The sequence below is a fragment of the Homo sapiens genome, chromosome 3 (assembly GCF_000001405.40).
Source record: "Homo sapiens chromosome 3, GRCh38.p14 Primary Assembly".
Classification (NCBI taxonomy): Eukaryota; Metazoa; Chordata; class Mammalia; order Primates; family Hominidae; genus Homo; species Homo sapiens.
The window spans coordinates 110,886,993-110,910,873 of record NC_000003.12 but is presented as its reverse complement, the minus strand read 5'-3'; the positions used below and the strand labels follow the sequence as shown (position 1 = coordinate 110,910,873).

The 23,881-nt window shown below is 39.0% G+C and overlaps 1 long non-coding RNA gene across 4 annotated transcripts in view, besides 1 other annotated feature; it reads left to right on the top strand.

Moving 5' to 3' along the window:
• The window catches only part of LOC151760 (putative uncharacterized protein), a 183,623-nt gene extending 160,893 nt beyond the window's left edge, over nucleotides 1-22,730 (top strand). For all 4 annotated transcript variants that reach the window (XR_007096272.1, XR_007096273.1, XR_924329.3 and 1 more), the window contains 2 exons: nucleotides 17,044-17,736; nucleotides 18,271-22,730. This is a non-coding gene — a long non-coding RNA (putative uncharacterized protein LOC151760). The remainder of the gene's footprint in view (nucleotides 1-17,043; nucleotides 17,737-18,270) is intronic.
• Nucleotides 21,190-21,805: an enhancer, noted in NCBI's record as "OCT4-NANOG-H3K27ac-H3K4me1 hESC enhancer chr3:110607916-110608531 (GRCh37/hg19 assembly coordinates)". NCBI's record gives its function as "activates a minimal SCP1, AML or CMV promoter by ChIP-STARR-seq in primed H9 embryonic stem cells {active_cell/tissue: H9 hESC(primed)}" and the evidence as "EXISTENCE:reporter gene assay evidence [ECO:0000049][PMID:30033119]".
• Nucleotides 22,731-23,881: the final 1,151 nt, after the last annotated feature.

Here is a 23,881-nt window from a genome sequence, read left to right as displayed (position 1 = left end):
GTATGAGGAGCTGGGATCCTGCCTAACACTTATCATTACATATTAAATCAGCACAATAAAAATGACAGAACAAAGCATTGGCTTTAAAGGCAACAAATTCTTTTAAGGCTACACTAAATCCTTGTCTATCTATATAGTATTAAGTTATAGTACTGCTACTGTAATTAAATGCTATATGAGGAAATGTAACAAGATACTATGTGGCCAAAGTAAAATGCTAACCTAAATAGCATCGTTAAAACATAACACATGAAATAAAATTGGAAATCACTTTTAGAACACTGCTCATGTTACAAGATGTCAGAATCATGCATAATGCAAGAGTGGAACTGCTTACAGAGTTTACACAAGAGAATTTAAACTTGCTTCCATGGACATGAGGAACTGCTCTTTGAAGCATGGGGTCTGATGAGATTCTGCCTGGCTCTAACGATATTCCAAGGGAATGTTCTCGTTCTATCTGATGCATATTTATTTATAGGGTGCTGAATGAAGGAGCATTCATACTACATGGCAGATTGCACCTTCACCATATTTTTCATTAATCATCTGTTCTTCAGCATCTTCACCATTGCTTTATTATTGATCTGTTTTTTGAACCCCCTTTGTGAATAAACCTACAATCACAAAATTACCCATAGATCAATGTCAGCAAACGCATTCCTGCAAACACAACCTTTAACTCCTTTTCTCCCTGAACCTTCATTCCATTTCATCTCTTGGGCAAAGGCCTGAAAAAACAGATGATCCTCGTATTATTCCCTGAAGGGCAACAAATCCAGACCTTGCTAGGTTTACAAGGCTGAACATAAAGCCCATCTCAATGACAATACTTTTTCTCTACTGCTCAGATTTTAAGTCAAAAGGTCCTTCTTGCTCACTGTAACATTCCTGTATGCTCTGTGTTAAAGACTATTGATCACATGTTGGTCTTTGTTGCCACATGCAGAGAAATCACCATCTCTGAATACATGAACCAAACACAAACATATTTATCCACACACTAACCTCTCTAATTTGGACATAATTAGAAAAAGGGCTATTTAATTAGTGAAAACTCTTAAATTATAGATGACTGATTACTTTTGAGTACATAAAGTAATAGCAGGAAATGACTAACAAAGTGTTGCCAAGTACAGGACCTGCCAGGCCTGTTTTAATGAATAGCTAAAGATCACTGAAATTAGCACATTAATTGTATGCATGTAAATTGCTTCTGCTAAGTGCATTAAAATGTTATTCTCTTTGTAATCATGTTGAAATTATTTATTTGGTTAGTACACCCTTTTCATAATTATTCATGAAAGACAGAAAAGTGAACTTCAACATAGTTCCTGCCTGAATCCGAATACTATCATTTACAAACCTCCACATTTTACTGTGCATGCAAAGGACTCATGACTTATATTTTAAAAATTCAACATGCACATTTAATAAAGACTTTTTTCAAGTTTCCCATTTCCTTTCTTAGTGTCTTCCTTTCAGTGTCTTGTAGAGGGTAATATCTCAGACTCCATTCCAGGTCAAACTCCCTCACTGTGAATCCCTCTCTATCATTTAATAGCTATGTGACTTTGGGCACATTGCTAAATAACTCTGAACCTCAATTTTCTCATCTGCCCTGCAGGATTGTTGTAAGGATTAAATGAAATGATGTTTTGAAAAATATTCTTAAACTTCCATGATGATAAAATTCACCTGAGGCACTTGTTAAACCCAACTTTCCCAGGCTCCTCGTTCGACTACCCCAGGTGATTTTTTTCCTCTGGGAAACAGTTTGGAAGCACCTGACTCATAGCAGCTTCTCTTCTGTCATATACTGTGTACTGTATATTGCGTTCATGAGCCAAGAAAAACAAAGGAAAAATAAATGGAAGATACAAGGAACCAAAAAAGTCATCACACAGCGTCCCTGCCAGCTTTTCCTTAAATGTGTCCAGGGCAGAGGCATTCACTCTCTTACAGAGAGTAGTTTTCTCCACATTTGAACAGTTCCATTGGTTCAAAAGACAAATCTCTTATTGTGCAGGAATCTGTTTCTTTTGAAGTTCTATTCATTGTTCTTGCCTGATATTTGGAGCAATGTGGAACGAACGAGTCAGCTTGTCTGTCCATTTGACAGCCGTTCAGACATTAAAAGAACTCTCTTATCTCCTCTTGATCTTCTCTTTCCAGGCTAAATATACCAAATTCCTTCATCCATTATTGGTGATAGAACATGGTTTCCATAGTTCTCACAGTCTTAATCACCCTCCTCTGGAGCCAACTCAAGACTGTCAATTTTCCACTTAAAATATGTTTTGTGACAGAATTGGACAGAATGCCATACATTTCTGAACAAGACAGAATATAGGCAAACCATAGTTCTCTTAAAGATGCTTAAAATAAATTATTTGAAAAGAATGATGTGCTTACATTAAAAGTTTCTGACCCCAGTTCTTTGGCTTACTGTGTGAGCTCGGACCAGTCATTTAACATTTCCAGAATCTTAAAGACCTTGTCTCTGAAACTGGGATAGCAATATTTCTCTGCCTACATGCAGACCTCATAGGGTTGTTCAGAGAATAAGACATAAAACAAAGTGGCTTGAATGATTATGTGCTACTTTTATCATCAAGTCAACATTAAAACTGTATTCAAAATAATCAATAGTTATTAAATCTAAGATATAATTTAAATACTAGTTTGTTCCCTATAAACTTTATGTTAAAAAGTTTCTGAATTTGTATTGACCAAAGTATGAAGCCTCTACATTTCAGTAACGATGTGGAGGAGATTCCAGCCAGATTTTAAAAATCTCAATTTGTTTTTAAAAGGTAGATTGTTGTCCAATCAGGTTTCTTTGTGCTGTATTTGTGCAACCAAGTCTTTGAACTGAAATTCCAAACTTAAAAAAAAAAAAGTCGTATATGCTTCTAGGAAGAGGGTCTATAGTCAGGACCCTGGACTTTACTATAAAATCGTAAAGACCTACCTGTTAGATCTGAAGAGAGAATTGGACACCACCCTCACCTCTTGTGACTTTTCTGGAATTTTCTTCAGGAAGGAAAGTGAAGTGTGCAGAAATGTCCTATTTCTTAATTGATTTCAGATATTTTTATTAACAGTATTTTCCTCTTTTTACTTTTCCGTTGATGTGTTCTCAAGGTAAAGTTTAACATAAATGAGAAGTAGCTCTGTCTTTCTTATAGAAGATTTGGACTTAGATTAATGGGAGAAATAAAGTCATAAGTATGAAGATAGCCTTGCTAATGTTTTAAAATAATATTTAATTGTACAAACGTGTTTTATATTTAATGATGAGAGAAAAAAGCAGGATACAAATCTATACATATGTGGCATGATAACAGGTATGCAAAATATTTGTATGTTTGTGAATACTTATTTACATAGAAAAACGAAGAACACTGGAAGGAAGTAAACCAAAATATTAGAAGTGATTATCACTGGCTAATGAGCTTACAGGTTTTCTTCTCTTTATACTTCCCTATATTTTATAAATTTTCTACAATGTGCATGTATTATTTTTATAATCATAAAAAAGGTAGCAAGAAAGTGAAAGAGCTTTGCTGCTAGGTGAAAAGTTGGTGTTTGTATTAGAAACACAATTTCATGAATACATTTTTCACTAGTGCCAACTCCGGAAGGTGGGAAAAAGACCTTCTCTTATTCTTCCCCCCATTTCATTTCATCTGACATGTAGGAGTTTCTTTTAATGATAGATTTCACTGAGGGAAAGGCACCTGGGGCAACAATCAAGGGAGATTGCATTACACTGTGACAAAATCTTTAGAACCGCCTTTCTGTCTGGGCCGTCAAACAGACTGAAAAAGGTGTAAATCCTTTCCGTTTTTTTAAAGTAATTTTTAAGGAGACTTCTTACACAATGAGATACACATTTAATATTTTAAAATCTCTGGCCTATTTCCAAATAGGATTATCACTTCCACATTAATATTTCTGGTCTTTTACATAAATTTAAGAAGTCAGGGCATTGGTACATGCCCACTAGACTGAAAGCTCCATGACACTAGGAACCATGTTTATTTGCTTGTTTGTTTGTTTGTAATTCATCTTTGTATCCTCAGCAACTAGTCTACGGCCTGATACTTACTAAATGCCAACAGAACAAGATGGAAGCAAGCCCTTCAGCCAGCTGACTAGGATACATAACAAAGCTCTTTTCCCTTCTCCCTGGGGTGTCAGTACTTGGATGGACAGAGAAAACCTGAAGGACAAACCTGGTCAAAATGGAACCGAGTAGACCCTGCCAAAATATGAGCAAATAGGGGAGGGGCAGGTAAAGGAGGGCTGAGGAATCTGGCTGGAATCTCCTACACATCATTACTGAAGTGTGGAGGCTTCATACTTTGGACAATACATAGCAAAGAACATTGATAAAGCTCTCTAGCTTGTTCTCCCCTCCCCATTTTTTAATTGAAAGGGATGGATTACAGATGGCTGTAAATTTACTCTAGAATGTTTGAGAAAGGGTTGGGACAGGGCCCAGGCTGACAAAGTGACAAATGTCTGTGTCAGCAGGCCCCACATCTGCAAGAAATGGAGACAGGGACTTTGGCATACACCATGAATGACCAGAACAGGTGAACAAAGCAAAGAGGGGCCAGGTCTTGGGAACAAGAAGCTTAATGTGACTTCAGATAGACTCCCCTATTATTGAGTGAAACTCTGTAAACTTATGACAGAGGTCAGGAATGGCCTTTGGGTTTGGGGTGAGGGGAAGGGCAGATGTATGTCAAGTAGCTGAGAAAAGCTGTTGGGATATTTGGCTTGAGGGGGCTGAGATAAGAGGTGGACGGTGTGACATGGTGCTAAGAGGCCTTAGCTGGCTGACCTGAAATAATAAAGCAAGCCACCTTTATTATTATTATTATTTATTGTTATTATTATTTAATATGTATTATTCTTTTGAGGGGAAGTGAGAAAAGACAACTTGGTAACCACCACATACCTTCAATTTGCTGACATGCGTATAACATGTGTTCAAAGACTCCCCTTCTTGCAGTAAAGCTGTGGAGATTCTTATGTCTTCAATTACTGGCTGGAGTATGTGAGGATCCAAATGACTTATTATATAAAAGAACATTATGGAGAGCTGAGTTCCTAAAGCTGGAGTTTCAAGAGAAATACCACTTTTGTTCCCTGGTGGTGACAGAAGGAGCAAGACTTTGAGGTGCAGGCTAATATATACCAACTTTAACAGGCCTTAGGGAGTCAGCACCTTTACCTAAAGTAGTGCCTCAAATGGTAGGAGTTTATAATGCAGGGAGAAACTTGATAAAAATATGAATAGAGGGTTCTGAACCTCTTCTATCTGGATAATATGGACAGCTCCATGTTAAGGCTGTACGTGGTTTTCAAGAGATTCTCTATCATCTCTGGAGAGATTTGGAAACAGGAGGGCCAAATTATCCTTATTCAAGGTCTGTTCCTGGCATTAGGAATCCTTTTGAACTAAAGTCTCCAAATAGCAACTTTGTGCTAGTCAAGCCAGTTCTTTGAAATCTCAGCCTTCTGTCCTGGATCATTTCCCTCCCTGGAGCTGGCTGTAAATCTGTCACCCTCCTTCTAACAGATCCTATCCACTGTCTCTAGATTAACTTTCTCAAAACACTGTTTCATCATATTGCTTTATTTTCCCCTTCTGCAGTAAGTAAACTTTGATGGCTTCTTATGGAGCACTGGGTCTCAAGATGTTCTTGAACCAGCCCCATGAGCATTACCTGGAAAGTTGTGAGAAATGTAAATTTTGGGGTCCTGCCCCAGACCTACTGCACACCTGTAATCCCAGCACTTTGGGAGGCTGAGGCGGGCGGATCATGAGGTCATGAAATTGAGACCATCCTAGCTAATACAGTGAAACACGGTCTCCACTAAAAATACAAAAAAATTAGCCAGGCGTGGTGGCACATGCCTGTAGTCCCAGCTACTTGGGAGGCTGAGGCAGGAGAATCACTTCAACCAGGGAGGTGGAGGTTGCAGTGAGCCGAGATCGGGCCACTGCACTCCAGCCTGGGGGACAGAGTGAGACTCCATTTCAAAAAAAAAAAGAAAAGAAATTCTGCTGGTATGGCCCAGTGATTTGTTTAACAAACCCAGCTGTGTACTAGAGTTTGAGAACCACGGCCATAGAGCTCTTCAACTTGATATTCAAAGCACTCTCCTCTCTGCTGTCTTACAACACTTGCCTCTTGTATTGCCAATTGTATGGCACTTATTCATCCTGTCATATGTTATTGTTATTTTCTTTGTATAATCTGATGTCACCTTCAGAATTGTAAACTTCTTGAGGTATTGGTCTGTGTATTTTCTTAACTATAAAATCATAAAACTAGAAAGGACCTGGAAAAGCAACCCCTGAATTTTGCAAACTTTTGAACAGTACCATGCATATAGTGGACATTCAATTAACATTTGTTGAATGAAATAACATGACCACAGGGGCCCCTGAGGTGAATTGAGACTGCCGAGACTTCAGTGTCATCATCTTAATTTAGATCATTGCTTTGGACACCCTCCAAGGGTTTCTGAATACCTGGGGAAAGCCTTGGATGCCATTGCCAGCTTTTCCCTCATGGTCTTTGCATGGGCTTTGGAATTTTCTTACTGAATGCAAGGCAGTGTGGTGGTTTGAGTTACAAATAGCAGAGCATTTGAATTGAGAAGAAAATAAAAACAAAAACAACATTGGTGTTTCTATCTTATTGCTGCTTTGAGACTCGACATGAAGTATGAATCCATCATACACAAGAAATAATATCTTGCGTGGATATCTAAAGCATAAATAAAAATTAATTGCAGCACACAGCTGTTAATTATCAGGCTTTGGAGCATTCCAGAAGCAGTTGCTCATGAATACTTATTCAGCTAAATATCACTTGCTCATTAGGACATGCCGACATTGGCTATGAAGACACTTGCCAGTTGCTGATTCTTGTTGCTTCTGTATAGTCTAGGGGTCTAGCCTGCCAGTGGTCTGGCTGTTACATTTTAGGGGTAGGCTGTCACAACAGAAATGGGCATGTTTGGCTTATGAAACTACTCTGTCTTCATCTTATGAGTGTTCATACCAAAAGAGGAGATCCTTGACTTCCAAGGATGGCTATTTGGTGATTCTTCTCCAAAGTGAATTGGGCCATGGGTATGACAGACATTTTGTGTGTGAGTGTCACTTTGTGGCAGGTAGTAACACATAGTGGTGTGCTAAATACATTAATAACTTTTATATTGCATTTTTATTATTAGGGTTCAATGCTTTAGGGCCCTGTTAGAAGATGTTGCTCTCAGAAGAATGACAAAAACTTAAAAAATGTATTTACTGTTTTTTTAGAGAGAGACATCTTTGTATTTCAGAGATGAGAAGAAATTCAGAAAGGCAATTCATTTTCATAGGTTAAATTTACACACTAATGAAAAGGAGAGAAAAATAGGAAAAGGGTTACTTTTATTTTTCATCTTCTGTGGACAGTGGACTGAGCAGCAAAAATAACCCATCTTGTTACTATAGGTCAAATTCATTAAAACAAACATACATGGATTTTCTTAATTATACGTGCGAGATTTGATTTAAATAAGAGTGCTGCTACTTGTTGCTTAGAAAGTTTCAGGGTAATTATATTGATTACAAAATTGGAACTATGGGCCTGGTTTTCCTGATCTTGTTATTGTCAAGTCCTTCCTAGTTTCCAGTCTCTGCAGACCTCTCTGCTCACCATGACTTCAGCCTGTTCACTCAGCCTTCTAAGCTCCCTGTGGCCAGGCTTTACCTGGGAGAGGAGGCATTTAAGGAGTTCCAATCCAATACTTTTCTTCCTTAGCATCAAGCTAGTTTGGCTTCCGGTCTGCCTTTGGCTTTTGCTGTAATTTCTAGAGTCATGTATGTCTCTCGTTCCTTGGATTCAGTATCTACCTTATGCTGCAGTTCTCATACCCGCATTCTTCTCCCATTACCCAGAATTGAGTTCCTGTTTTAAAAGTTTGCCAGGTCTGCCCAGGTCCTCTAAGAACACCTAAGACCCAACCTTACGTTTGCCATTCTTTCTCTCTCTTAGCCACCGGGGTCCAGCTCCTGTTCCACAGTCTGACTGTGGCTCTACTATGGTAGATAAGGCTTTCTGATGCTGCCTGCCTGAATTTGGGACACGTTTAGCTGCTTCTTGGCACCAAGCCGTGGTTTCGTATTGAGTGAACTTCTGCTCTTTCATGTTTGCCTCCTGATACCAATTTCCTGGCTGCATTATCAATCCTTGTGTTCTGCCATATTCTTCAGATACTTTGTTCTGCTTGCCAGACTGGACATTCTCCCAGCACCTGCAACTGAGCCATCCTCTCTGATGGGTAGGTCTAGTTTCAGGTCCCAGTTTCTTCCCTCGTGACCTGACCAGGCAGGTGTCTGGTTTACCAAATTCAACAAATGTAAAGCATGTCCTTCTAAATGTTTGTTTTAAATACAATCATTTAATCATTTTTGTTTCAATTAGGTTTACATTTAAAGAATTACTCCCATACTTTTTATTACTCTATGTGGATTGTGGAAATTGTTGCCTTTCCCTATTTGCAGTTCTTTTAAGTAATAAGATGCAAATGAACCTCACTTTCAATTGAAATTCTGAGAAAAGTTCTTAGGGTAACTTCACATTTAAGGGTGCTTTAATTAGACTGAATTGTGCCTATTTATTGCCTGATGTCCAAGGCAGAAACCTCGGGTCTAATTATTGTGCTTATTTACTGCTCTCAATTATATTATAGATATGAGGAGTTGAAGAGCAAGAAAAGAAAAAGCAAAGCAAATATATTTGTGCATGAGAGAGAGAGAGAGTGTGTGTGTGTGTGTGTGTGTGTGTGTGTGTGTATTGTGTTGAGACTGAGGGGAAGGTAAGGGCAGGGGAAAGCAACTCTGTTCACTTGACAAATGTAAAAGGGATCCCTGTTAATATAACCCTATCACTGATGTGAGCACTTATTATGGTGTATCAGGCAGTGTGCTAATAAGAACTGGGGTTACTTCATTTAAGTCCAATTAAATAGTTACTAATTTTATTCCTACTTCACATGAGGGAAAGCTGAGGTTTGGAGAGGTTAATTTACCTGAGTTCACACAGAAAATAATTGCTGAATCAGGGATTTGGATCCCTTTGGTGTGACTCTAAATTTGAGTCCTCCAGATTATACTGCTTTCCTCTTCTTTAGTGTGATGTTTCCAGATTATTCTTGTACAACCTGAGAAGTGATCGGGAATATGGAGGAAAATAAGTGACATTAACTAGTTATAGTAACATTTACTAGTTATAATTTTCTAAGGGTTTTTGCCTACAGTATCTGCTTTATTTTCAGAAAATAATAAGGTAAATGATATTGTCTTCATTTAGGAGGTCAAAACAGAGACTCAGAAACATTAAATAACTCCATATTGTTGTGAATAGCTGTAGTTTATTCATTTGACTCTTGTTTACTATTCCCCTGTGAAAGTCTACTACAGTATCCTGACAATGGACATCTGATTTTTTCCAGGTTTTTGCTATTGTAATAGTACAACTATGAACATTTATATGAATACTTCAGTGCATATTTTGCAAAATTTTTTCTCAGCTATATACCTTAGAGTATGTGTGTTAAAAATGCCAATTTAAAGTAATAAATTAAAAAAGAGGGCCATGCATGGACCAATGGCCAGAGCGTGTCATAAACCAGTGATTTCGATTAAACAAATTCTGTGAACTAAGGTAAAAAATAAAAATCTGTAAACCTGAGACTTCACTTTTCTCCCCCAAAAGGAATCACCTGACTTGGTGACTTATCTGGGGCAACAGAATGGTAGAACTGGTTCTAACCCCCAGTTCTGTAATTACAGAAAATTCTTAGGCCTGCCCCACGTTAACACATGAACATTATTCTCATTATTCTACTTGGGTGGCCTGAGAACTACAAACTTCACAGGTTCAGAGGAGAGATTACACACCACTGAGTTGCTAGTCTGTTTTTGAGAAGAGATTTGGTTTTGAGAAATTACTCCAGAGTGTTTATATTGCTTCACCCATGGGCCTGTGTGCTGTTAAGCTTGAAATGAAAAGAATGACTCTGTGGTTTAGTTTTATGAGGGAACCAAAGCCATAGAGTTATGATCTAGTGCATATAATATTGAAGGATCACAATTTAAAGTCCAATAATCCTTGCCATTTGTCTTCACAAGAGGATCTCAAAGAGTTTTATGAGAAATTATAGACTAAGAATTTGGGAGAGTTATGTGCAATTTTTGGTTAAAAAAGGAAGTGCTAAAGTTTTCTGGAATGCTTCAAGGCTGTCATTGGAAAAGGCATGAAGAGAGCCTAGGATCATTGACTCCTTGGCTAGGAACCCTGGCAGGATTAAATGCAACCAAACAATTCAGTGATTCTGAATGGCTTCAGCTTTCTTTGAGTGGCAATTTTGCTTTTCTGGGGGCCCTACTAATTGAAGGAAAGCATAGAGGAGCCAGAGTAAATTGGTTCTTCAGAAGCTTTAAGAAATATTGTGGGGGTCATATTAATACAGCTTTTGTAATATATTCTCTTTCTAATTAGTTTTTTTCTCTCTTTAATGGGAATTTTAAGGACTGCAGTGGCATGAGCCAACAGAGATTTTTAAACAGCACAAATATAAATGGTTATTCTAAATTATATTTGGAAGAAACTCTACTTGAGGTATTTAAGTTAGTAAGTAAAGGCACCAAATTAATATAGGCTATTTTAAGAATAAATATGGAATGCTATAAAACTTTGGTGATCTGTATACTTTCTGGTGGCTGGCCAATAGGATTTTTAATTGAATTACTACAGAAAATTCAGCACAAAATATTATCAGATTTAACCACCCACTCAATATGTTATTTGTTACTGTTTTATTAGGCTAAATCAAAGGTTATAGCATCTCATCTTCTGCACTGATTTTTAGCCCAGAGGGGTAAAGTTTTAAAATGAGATCATGAAATTTTAGTAAAGAGCAGGTACTTAACAAAAGGATGATACTCAATTATTTTATTTAGAAAAGTAAAACTATTTTGTGACTGCTTTATATGTGCATTCCTAGCCTTTAAATAGTTAGACAACTTCATTGACATTCGCATTTTGGAGCTTTGTAACTAGTCTGAGGTTGAACCTGGGAGGGGAGATGTTGGGTGCTGAGGTCCTCATGGAGAAAAGACCTGTTGGCAAATCCAATGTCAAAAGTACCCACATTTCAGGCATATTGCCTTTGGCTATATTCTCTGAAAAGCCCCAAGATGGTGGACAGCATGGCTGGAGTTTACAATTCCCCAGATAATCATTTCAGAATCTATGCATCTCACATTTGGTCATTGTAAGTGGTTAGAAATTCCTGTTTTTTTAATTATTTTGTGTCAGTGTGCCTCATCTTGCAGCTGTTCTCAGAGTGCAGTCTGCAGACCAGTAGCATTACCCAGGAACTTGTTAGAAATTCAAATTCTCAGATTTTTGTTGGCTGCCTACATGTCTTCGAGAAGTGTCTGTTCATATCCTTCACCCACTTTTTGATGGGGTTGTTTGTTTTTTCTTGTAAATTTGTTTAAGTTCCTTGTAGATTCTAGATATTAGACCTTTATCAGATGGGTAGATTGCAAAAATTTTCTCCCATTCTGTAGGTTGCCATTTCACTCTGATGATAGTTTCTTTTGCTGTGCAGAAGCTCTTTAGTTTAATTAGATCTCATTTGTCAATGTTGGTTATTGTTGCAATTGCTTTCGGTGTTTTAGTCATGAAGTCTTTGGCCATGCCTATGTCCTGAATGGTATTGCCTAGGTTTTCTTCCAGGGTTTCTATGGTTTTGGGTTTTACATTTAAGTCTTCAATCCATCTTGAGTTAATTTTTGTATAAGGAGTAAGGAAGGGGTCCAGTTTCTGTTTTCTGCATATGGCTCATCATCACTGGTCATTAGAGAAATGCAAATCAAAACCACAATGAGATACCATCTCACGCCAGTCAGAATGATGATTATTAAAAGTCAGGAAACAATAGATGATGGCAAGGCTGTGGAGAAATAGAAACACTTTACACTGTTGGTGGGAGTGTAAATTAGTTCAACCATTGTGGAAGACAGTGTGGCAATTCCTCAAGGATCTAGAAGCAGAAATACCATTTGACCCAGCAATCCCATTACTAGGTATATACCCAAAGGATTATAAATCATTCTACTATAAAGACATACGTACACGTATGTTTATTGCAGCACTATTTACAATAACAAAGACTTTGAACCATCCCAAATGCCCATCAGTGATAGACTGGATAAAGAAAATGTGGCATATATAAACCATGGAATACTATGCAGCCATAGAAAAGAATGCGATCATGTCCTTTGCAGGGACATGGATGAAGCTGGAAGTCATCATTCTCAGCAAACTAACACAAGAACAGAAAACCAAACACCACATGTTCTCACTCATAAGTGGGAGTTGAACAATGAAAACACATGGACACAGGGAGGGGAACATCACACACTGGGGCCTGTTGGAGGTTGGAGGACAAAGTGTGGGAGAGCATTAGGGCAAATACCTAATGCATGCGGGGCTTAAAACCTAGATGATGGGTCTATAGGTGCAGCAAATCACCATGGCACATGTATACTTATATAACAAACTTGCACGTTCTACACATGTATCCCAGAACTTAAAGTAAAAGAAAAAAACAAAACAAACAAACAAAAAGAAATGCAAATTCTCCTGGATCAAGACCTACAGAATCAGAAACACTAGGGATGGAGCCCAGTGATGTATTTTGAAAGCCCTCCATGTGACCCTGATGTCTGCTACGTTAGAAAACAACTATTTAAATTATGTTGATGAGTGTTTAAGTTTTTTGATAACCATCTTGAAGAGCTCCTATTCTAGTGTCTGATTCGTGGTAGACTCTCAGTGTTACCCTGAAAATGGAAGATGCACTTAATTTGTAATGCAACAGTCTGTGATGTTTACTATTATATTTTAGTCTCCCTCTCTCTCTCTCTTTTTTAACTGTCTACTCAGGAAGGAATAGTTGCCCTCACAGATTATTCATTTACTTTTCCTTTGAGACTAGCTCTTCAGCTTTTCATTTAATATGAAAAAGGTCATCTTCAAAGAAAATTGTTGTTTGATGCTTCAGTTATTTAATTCTCTAGCGAGTCACTGAGAAACAAAGTTGCTTCATGCCAATCATTTCTTTCCCATTAAAGAAGGAAAGTCACTTCACTGTCAATAATGATTAGTGAATTTTTTCTCTAGTCTCTACTTCAGGACCATTTAAAACTTTAGTGGCCAAAAATTTGTTGTTTAAGACTTCTAAGTTGGCTTTGAGTCTGCTTAGGCAGCAAATTCATCTAAGGGCTGTGAACCTCTCAGCTTTGCCTAGGGTAATAGGTGAAAATGGGGAAAAAATTATTCACAAAGAAAGTTGAAGTGAAACAGGTTTGGGGAGACAAATGGACTCAGATTGTGATGTGAATTCATATGTTTTATACACCCAATTATTTCTAATGTGTGAAATCCAGGGAAATTATGTGTTCCAGACTCAGTGAGATTCATGTGGTACAAACCTCTTTTGCATCTTGTTATGTAAAAGATCCATGTGGTTTGAATAGCATTCTTGCATGTCAGCACATCTAGTCCTAGGGGAAGAGGTTCCTCAGGATAGGGACACCAAACAGAAGATGCTGGGTGTTGTTCTCTGGGGATGAGACAGCTGATTCTGGGTTAAAAACTGAAAACGCAGGGATCATTGAGATTTCAGGGAGGCTCCACATGGACCAGCATAGGGAGGTAGGGATGGCCACGGCATGCTGAGGGTCTACCAGGAATATAGAGAAATCTGATAAGGCAGGAAGGAAGTGGACCTGCAGGGGAGCCGGGGGTCTGAATGACCAAAGGACCTCCTTAGGTAGCATTCCTTATTCGTATGATTCTAATAAGAATGTGGGTGGAAGAATGCTTCTAGAATAGAATTGGACTGAGTGGTGTTAACCACTACCTGAGCAGCTCTTTTCTGAGTACCTAGCCAGACCTGTTCAGCTTTGTCCTCCTCAGAAAGAGGCCCAGATAAAGGGGAGAATTGGCCCCTAGAGCCCAGGTTCTGGGAGGCAGTCTATAAAAACTTGCATTTTGAAATCCACAAACATTGACTGAATGCCCTCCTGGTGCCAAGCACCATGGAGATGCTAGGGATAAAGTAATTAGAGAGTTCCTCAGGGAACTCCAGGCCTTTTGAAGATGATAGATAGTTAAACAGCTTATTATAATTCAGTCGAATGGTATTTTTAGGGACAGAATGTTATGCAAGAATATAAATCAATTTTTTTCTGCCTGAGGAAGTCAGCTAATTTTCTTAGAAATTGTAATATAGGTAGGCCAGGTAGTGAAGAGGGGCAGGGGCATGGCAGGTAAAAGGATGAATGTTTAAAGAAGTATGGTGCTCTCAGGAAATGGCAAGCAGTCTGTTTCTGCAGCAGCATAAGATACCTGAGGGTGAGTGTTGGAGTTGAAGTTGGACAGATGGCATGGAATCAGATCATCAAGGACCTGTAGGGAGCAGAGCTTTAGTCAGAGGAGTCACATGATCAGATTTCTTTTAGAAAGATACATTCTAGCTCTTTTATGGAGGGTGGATTCCAAATAACAGAGGCCAGACTCAGAGTAGAACCTTGTAAAAGTACACTTGAAGCATGATGTGAGCCTAACTCAGGGCCATTTCTAAGGTGATGGAGAAGCAAGGTTGACTTTTTGAGGCTTGAATTTGTCACGTTTACTCCTTTTTTAGTCCTATCTCCACCTGTTTGGGGGCTTCTGTGGTTGATGCTCTTATAGTTGCTGCCTCTATAGTTGCTCTTGATAGAGGGAACAGATAGAAGGTGGGCCAGCATTCTGTCATATTACATGGGGCTTTTTCCCTCTCAGAGATTTTACCAAACTTTCCCAGCAGTATTAAATGAAACCCAATTACTAATATAAAGAATTTCATGTTAATATATTAGTAAATAAATTCTTTTGATACCATCTTTTGTGACAGGTAATTATAACTTAAGTGGCCTACATCAAATGTATTAATTCATTCATGAAACTTTCATTGACATTTGCAATGTGAAGGCACTGTTAGCTTCGCCGAAGGGTAACAAAAAAGCATTGAATATCCTCTGGCAGAAATTGCCAGTCCTGCTTTATTCTCTATAGCCACGAGCCAAGGAACTTTCTCAAAGCATTTGTTTTATTCATTCTTTCACTAATCCTTCAATTTATAAGTCAACAAATATTTGTTCAGCATCTACTATGTGAAGGCAAAATAATGACAGGTGAGGAGCACGTTAGAGGTGGAGTAAAAATAGAACAGAAAGTTCAAGATGGACTTCAAAGTTCTCAGAAATTCCCAAATTTAAAAATACTCTCAAGACTTTGGGGAACTTAATCTTTAATACTCTTACTACCTTTGTTATTAAAGAGCATCTTGGTTTAGGAAGTAAAGTTTTAGCTTCTTCAATAACCTAGGAATCATATCTCAGTTTCCATGTTTCTCTGATAGTTGCTTGAAACTTTGATCCCTGGACTCTGCAATGTGGAACCATATTCACAGGTCACAGTAATTTCGAAAGATGAGCAAATAAAGTATTTTCCATTATCTATCTGTAGGCTTTTCTATTGCTTAAAAAGAGACTAAATAGCATGGTTTTCTAGGCAAGTGTGATAGAAAATGTGGAGCCTAACTCCCCTCCCTCACCCTTTTGAAGGCCAATCTATGAATTTGTTTGAAAATTGTCCAGTTTCAGAATTTAGCTAACTAGTTGTGTAAATGACTAAGGGTCATCAGAGAGCATAGAAGTATTATTTGCCCAGGCATATTTTGACCTCTTCTTTGACAGCCCTTCTTTTCACTGAAAAAAATTCTTTCTCATTCTAGTCTTCTGCTCTTCTGTAGAAAGAGAACTTGCTGGGAGTTAGGTGACTTGACTTCTAATCTCAGTTTTGTGGCTAACTAGTTGTAGGACTTTAAGCCAGAGGTTGTCAAACTATAGCCTGCAGGCCAAATCTTGACCACCATCTGTTTGGGAAAATAAAGTTTTATTGGAGCATAGCTATGACTGTTTGTTTACTCATTGTTTACGAATGCTTTCTTGCTACAATACTGAGATGAATACTTCTGATAGTACCATATGGCCCACAGAGCCTCCAGTATTTACTGCCTGGCCCTTTACAGAAAAAGTTTGCCAACCTCATCTTTAGGCAAGTCGCTGTCTTACTTGAGCCTCATCTTCCCCATTTGTAAAATTTGGGAGTTGGACTAGGTTGTTCCCAGGGCTCATGTCCTCTTTACATGGTTACTCTAGAACTCTTCTTACAGAGCAGTCTCATCTCACATCAGTCATTTTATACTGGGACGTAAACCTATTCATATTTATATTCATTCAGTTTACTAAGCTCCTAATACTGGCAAGCCAGAGTGGAACACTAAGTCTAAGAGCATCCCTGCCTTTGAGAAACTTATAATCTGGTTAGAAGATATACATACAAGGTTTCAAACTTAAATTAAAATAGAATGTAATAAAGGATAACATACCAAATTAAGTGATAATGATTAAAAGATTTCAGAGGAGAAATATCATTATGGACTGACATCATTAGGGAAATATCTGTAGGGGAAAGTGAGATTTTATTTTTTTAACAGTCATCTTCATAGCCCTGTAAAATACTGGATTCAGTGTCCCTCTAAAGACGTAGTTTTCAAATTTTAGGATGCATAAAAATCAACTGAATTAGTAGGAAAAAAATGCAAATTCCTTATATCCAGCTTTCGAGATTCTAAGTAGGTCTGGGGTACAGCTTATAAATGAGTATTTTCACAAACACCCTGGATAATTCTGATACACATTCTGGTAAGTTGTTAAATATAATTACTACCTAGGAATTTATGATGTTTGGTAGAGTTTTTGTGAACTGTGGTTATGTGTGACTAGAAGGAACTCCATTGTCCATGGAGCAAGTACTTCAATGACTTTCTCTCTCTTTTTAGGAAATGTGAAATCTCTTAGGCCAAGAAGAACAACCTGAGGACTCTCTTTCTGGAGGTAATTGAACTCCTTTAGTAAATCCAGAGGAGAAATCTGAGATCAGTACATCTTTTGTATCTATGATAGCTAAGGATACATCACTTGAAAGATTCACTGTACTAACTACTTTCTTCAGCATTTGACTCTTGGTCCTTGTGTTGTGAGCTCCTTGTTCCTGCAAAGCTGGCTGGGGTCACCATAGTGGGTCAAAAAAAAATTCATCAATGAAAAAGATAGGGAATCTCCAATCTCTATCCCAAGACATGTTCTCGATGACTTGAGCACATCACACATCAGCAGATGCTCAGGATACAGAAGAGAGATTTCATCTACGGGAAAAAGACCCTCTGAAAAGAAGTGTGAAATCATCAAAAGAGCCATTGGAGGGGACACCAGAGAGTCGTGTGGCTGAGGTTTCACATGATCCCGCCATGCTTCCAGTCCAGAGGAGAAAGCTAGACCCACTCCTCAAAAAGTATAGGCATCATAAGAAGGCCACAAGGACAAAAAGAAGGAGGAAGGAGAAAATGGAGGCCCAGTGCTCCCCTGTTCCTCCAACACCTTCAACACCACCACAAAGTGAAGAAGATGAGGCTGTAGACAAAAAGCCAACTCTACTCAGTGCCCAGGAAGATACTCCTGACCTTCTCCATGAGGTAGGGGTGGCAAAATCCTGGGATTGTCACTCTTCCGTAAGAAAAATAGTGACAGCTCTTCACCTGGAGTAGGAAGAATTGGGGGTATGGAGCTTGAGAAACAAACTGGGGTCACTGGTCCCAGATAGAACATAAAAGATTTGGCGGCTGCACACAGTGGCTCACGCCTGTAATCCCAGCACTTTGGGAGGCCAAGGTGGGCGGGTCACGAGGTCAGGAGATTGAGACCATCTTGGCTAACATGGTGAAACCCCGTCTCTACTAAAAATTAAAAAAAATTAGCCGGACGTGGTGGCAGGCGCCTGTAGTCCCACCTATTCGGGAGGCTGAGGCAGGAGAATGGCGTGAACCTGGGAGGCGGAGCTTGCAGTGAGCCGAGACCACACCACCGCACTCCAGCCAGGGCGACAGAGCTAGACTCTGTCTCAAAAAAAAAAAAAAAAAAAAGGCTTGGCTCAGAGAGTCATGTCCTTTTTTCTTTATGCACATGGTTATTGTCTTTGAGGGCTTTTAATTTATTTCTTTTACTTACAGGACAGATTACAGTATCTGCAGGAAGAGGGTTCCGGTGTGATGCATCAGGAATGTCAGATCCAGTCCTGTGAGCTCTCGGTGGCTCAGAAGCCCAGGCCCTCTTCTCCTGCAGTGACATCCTTGGCATCACCACCACTCTGCTTTGGCAGTTTCCTAAGCTGTGTCTGCCAGACCTTCTCAAGGTCTAGGAAGCAGAAGCCTCCCAGAAGAAAGGGTAACAACCAGGCTGAGGCAGGAGGTGATGCTGAGGTCCTGAGACCTGGCCCGGCAAAACCAGAGTTGAGCCTCAGCAAAACGTGTAGCCACTTGAAATCGATAGAGCTTTCCTTTGTGTTTAGTTTTATAGTTCTCTCTGTATGTCATTGTTCCTCTTAGTTGAGTTTTTGCCTGTCAAAGAGATAGAGAGCTGCTTTTATGCTGAGATCCTCAAGCCAAAACCCACAGTAAACGCAAAGTAAAACTTTGAGGCTTTGAACTTTTACTCAGTGGTGGAATTACTTCCTACTTCCTTCCCATTAGGTTGAAGGTGGGATTCTCTCTGGAATAAGTTGTTCCCAAAATTCATGTGTATTTCACTCAGGATTGAAGTGATACAATTTCATCATTTTCGGTAGTGTTTCCTGATATCGACGACCAAATGGAGACCTTTCATGTCCAACTCCTTTCATTTTCTTTTACCTTTGACTACAGATTCATTTTGTATTCTTCATCTTCAATATTTTGTTGAAATTCTGCCACTCTGCCACTTTCTTTTTTCTTTCTTTCTTTCTTTTTTTTTTTTTTAAGACTGAGTCTCGCTCTGTCGCCAGGCTGGAGTGCAGTGGCACGATCTCGGCTCGCTGCAACCTCTGCCTCCCGGGTTCAAGCAATTCTCCTGCCTCAGCCTCCGGAGTAGCTGGGATTACAGGCAAGCGCCACCACGCCCAGCTAATTTTTGTACTTTTAGTAGAGACAGGGTTTCACCATGTTGGCCAGAATGGTCTCAATCTCTTGGCCTCATGATGCCCCACCTCGGCCTCCCAAAGTGCTGGGATTACAGGCGTGAGCCACCACACCCGGCCAATTCCGCCACTTTCTAACTTGAATAAGCCTCAGGATGTCCTGGCTGCTACACAGCTATCACTTCCTCCATCCCTAACCAATATTTGGTTTCTTTTTTGTCACTTGTTAGTAGGGTTCCTAGCTCTCCCTTCTGAAAGGTACCTTTGGTGTTCTCTAGCCATCTGTATTGAAAACATAGTCACACAAAGTAATGTTTCTTCCTTGTCATTCTGTAGTCAGATTTTCACAGAATCCTGAGTTCTTCTGAGAATCCTAAAGAAGATAAGTGCTTTACTTTAAGAAAAGTTCAAGATCATTCCATTTCCCTCTTGTTCTGGTATGCTAGGTTAATCCTTTTCCCAGGATGTAAGAGTTTAAATTAATCTTACACCTTCTTTTGAGGGAGTATGTTCAAGAAGAGTTTAGGAGTTTCCCTGTAGCTTTATTACTTGTTATTTCCTAATTGTCCCAGTTTCCCAATTCATGTAAGAATAATAAATAAAAATACAAATATAAATAAATGTGCAGAGTATCTGCATAAGAAAGAAATAATATAACTTATTTTCTTTTGTCCTTAGCACTGACTCTGATGATTACTGGAATCACTGGAAATGTGACCAGTATGTTAGTTCTTTTCATGCCTGGAACAAGGCTTTGTACTGTTGGAAGAATACAGGTTTCAGATAAGGAAAGATCTACACAAGCACTTAGTTTTGAAACTTTTCTGCTCCCATGTGTCTTGACCCCTTACTCATAACCAAGAGAAAGGGAGTTTATATCTCCTCTGATGCATTTGTAAATGAGAAAGAATATATTTCCAGGTTTCAAAGTTTATATTGCTGTAGTTAGGAAGAGAATAGAATGAGTTGCAAGAGTGGTGGCAAATATCCTCAAGGATGCTTTGGAGGTAACAGGTTACAACCACATTTGAAGAAATTTCATGGTTTGGTGAGGATTTCAAATTAGAATTAGCAATTTTGCAAAATGTCATAGTACTTAGAGTAAAATAGGACACCTTTCTTTAAGAATGTTGAATATTGGCCCCCACTCTCTTCTGGCTTGTAGGGTTTCTGCCGAGAGATCTGCTGTTAGTCTGATGGGCTTCCCTTTGAGGGTAACCCAACCTTTCTTTCTGGCTGCCCTTAACATTTTTTTCCTTCATTTCAACTTTGGTGAATCTGACAATTATGTGTCTTGGAGTTGCTCTTCTTGAGAAGTATCTTTGTGGCGTTCTCTGTATTTCCTGAATCTGAACGTTGGCCTGCCTTGCTAGATTGGGGAAGTTCTCCTGGATAATATCCTGCAGAGTGTTTTCCAACTTGGTTCCATTCTCCCCATCACTTTCAGGTACACCAATCAGACGTAGATTTGGTCTTTTCACATAGTCCCATATTTCTTGGAGGCTTTGCTCATTTCTTTTTATTCTTTTTTCTCTAAACTTCCCTTCTCGCTTCATTTCATTCATTTCATCTTCCATTGCTGATACCCTTTCTTCCAGTTGATCGCATCGGCTCCTGAGGCTTCTGCATTCTTCAAGTAGTTCTCGAGCCTTAGTTTTCAGCTCCATCAGCTCCTTTAAGCACTTCTCTATATTGGTTATTCTAGTTATACATTCTTCTAAATTTTTTTCAAAGTTTTCAACTTCTTTGCCTTTGGTTTGAATGTCCTCCCGTAGCTCAGAGTAATTTGATCGTCTGAAGCCTTCTTCTCTCAGCTCGTCAAAGTCATTCTCCATCCAGCTTTGTTCCGTTGCTGGTGAGGAACTGTATTCCTTTGGAGGAGGAGAGGCACTCTGCTTTTTAGAGTTTCCAGTTTTTCTGTTCTGTTTTTACTCCATCTTTGTGGTTTTATCTACTTTTGGTCTTTGATGATGGTGATGTACAGATGGGTTTTTGGTGTGGATGTCCTTTCTGTTTGTTAGTTTTCCTTCTAACAGACAGGACCCTCAGCTGCAGGTCTGTTGGAATACCCTGCCGTGTGAGGTGTCAGTGTTCCCCTGCTGGGGGGTGCCTCCCAGTTAGGCTGCTCAGGGGTCAGAGGTCAGGGGTCAGGGACCCACTTGAGGAGGCAGTCTGCCCGTTCTCAGATCTCCAGCTGCGTGCTGGGAGAACCACTGCTCTCTTCAAAGCTGTCAGACAGGGACATTTAAGTCTGCAGAGGTTCCTGCTGTCTTTTTGTTTGTCTGTGCCCTGCCCCCAGAGGTGGAGCCTACAGAGGCAGGCAGGCCTCCTTGAGCTGTGGTGGGCTCCGCCCAGTTCGAGCTTCCCTGCTGCTTTGTTTACCTAAGCAAGCCTGGGCAATGGCGGGCGCCCCTCCCCCAGCCTCGCTGCCGCCTTGCAGTTTGATCTCAGACTGCTGTGCTAGCAATCAGCGAGACTCCGTGGGCGTAGGACCCTCCAACCCAGGTGCGGGATATTATCTCGTGGTGCGCCGTTTTTTAAGCCCGTTGGAAAAGCGCAGTATTCAGGTGGGAGTGACCCTATTTTCCAGGTGCCGTCTGTCACCCCTTTCTTTGACTCGGAAAGGGAACTCCCTGACCCCTTGCGCTTCCCAAGTGAGGCAATGCCTCGCCCTGCTTCGGCCCGCGCACGGTGCGCGCACCCACTGACCTGTGCCCACTGTCTGGCACTCCCTAGAGAGATGAACCCGGTACCTCAGATGGAAATGCAGAAATCACCGTCTTCTGCGTCGCTCACGCTGGGAGCTGCAGACGGGAGCTGTTCCTATTCGGCCATCTTGGCTCCTCCCATAGGACACCTTTCTAAAGTCAGTCATGCTTTGATACTTTTAGTTGTCTAAAAAGTGGTTGATTTCTCATTTTAAACAGTATTGAGTTTTCTTGAGCTAATTGACCGTGATAAATGGGTTTTATTACATAAAATTTCAAATTATCCAAACTATATCTATATTTACATACATATTTTCTCCATTTAATACAAGAAGCACACTCCCAGGTAAGGCATCATGTATGAAAGTCCTGAGTCATCGAGCCTGTTATTAAAAGCTCACCAGAATGCAGGTATTCGTGTTGGTATTATACTTTATTATTGTTATTACTTATCATAATAAGTGTTTCAGGTTAGTTTTTCTATCATAGAAAAACTATTAGTGGGAGCCTAGTTAGCCATATCTTCAGCCCCATCTACAATACTGATTTTCACATAAAAGTTATTTGCTACAAATTTGGTACATAGGTTTCAAATAAGGAAAGATCTATATAAGCACTTAGTTTTGAAATTTTTCTGCTCTGTGTCTTGACCGTTTACTCACAAACAAGAGAAAAGGTGTTTGTATCTCCTCTGATGCAATTTGTAAATGGGAAAGTGCATATTTCTATGTTTCAAATTTTGTGTTGCTATCTTTATGGTTTGAATTGTTAAACATGATTTATGACTTAATAAAGCTGCTTTTGAAAAATATACTTAGAAAAATAGTATAGCTGTTTCAAAGTAAAAACAAATTTAAAAATAAAACTTGCTACTATTGATGAGAGATAGAGCTTTATGAGTCATTTAAAAAAATTGTTTCCCCTGCAAAGCAGATAGACAGTTTTGCACATGTATTATAGACAGACATAATTGACAGTATAGAGGTGATCATATTTAATGTATTTAGTTCTCTTTTTTATCCCCATGGGAACCTAGAGAACTAGGTAGGTATCAGATGTTGCTGTACTTATTGCTACAGGTTGATTAAGCTAAGATTAAACAGGTCAATAAATATTTTCCAGCAATTTTTCTAAGATCACTCGTTTAGTCTGATAAAGAATTATAATACAAGTTTTTAAACCAAATTATTGGACTATTAGTTTTGTGGTTTTGTCTTGTAAATGTGATTTTTTTGCTCTGGGTTCTTGTCCCAACATTCAATATCGAAACATTTCCTAGGACCATTTTGTTTTTGTCAACTTATTCTCATATTAGTGTCCAAATTCCAACTAATGCCTTTACTACTCCCTGGGAAAATTTTAACATGAAAAAACCCTGGCTAATGTAAAATTATACCCCCCAAATAAACCAATAAAAAGGGTTTACTTATTACCTGAATTTTGACAGAAATAGTAGAAAGTATCTAGTCCTTTCCTCTTATTTATCAGAGGAATCTGAACAGAGAAATTGAATAGCTCTCTCAAAGTGACATAGCTGGTTAGTGACAAAGCTGAAACAAATAATAGCTACCATTAGATTAAATATTATACTTATTCACACATCAGTAATCTTCAGGCAATCTGCATAGGGTTGGTACGATAGTTTAAGTTCAGAAAGGTCCCAGGACTGGCAAGTCCTGATGCAGAATCCAAACCTAGGTCTGTTAGTCTCTGAAGCCAATACTTATTACATTGTACCTCTCAGTATTATAATATAAAATGCCTGTTACAAGTCTAACTGTAATATTAAGAATAAATAATTTCTCTTATTTGCCAAAATTTAGATTTTAGCTTTAGCACATATACAATAAAAATAGTCTAATAAAAAAAGTCCAATTAAAAAGACTATTTCTTTGGGTAAAATTTCTTTATTGAGCTGTAAATAATAACATAGTTAGAACCTAAGTGATTGATTAAAGAAAA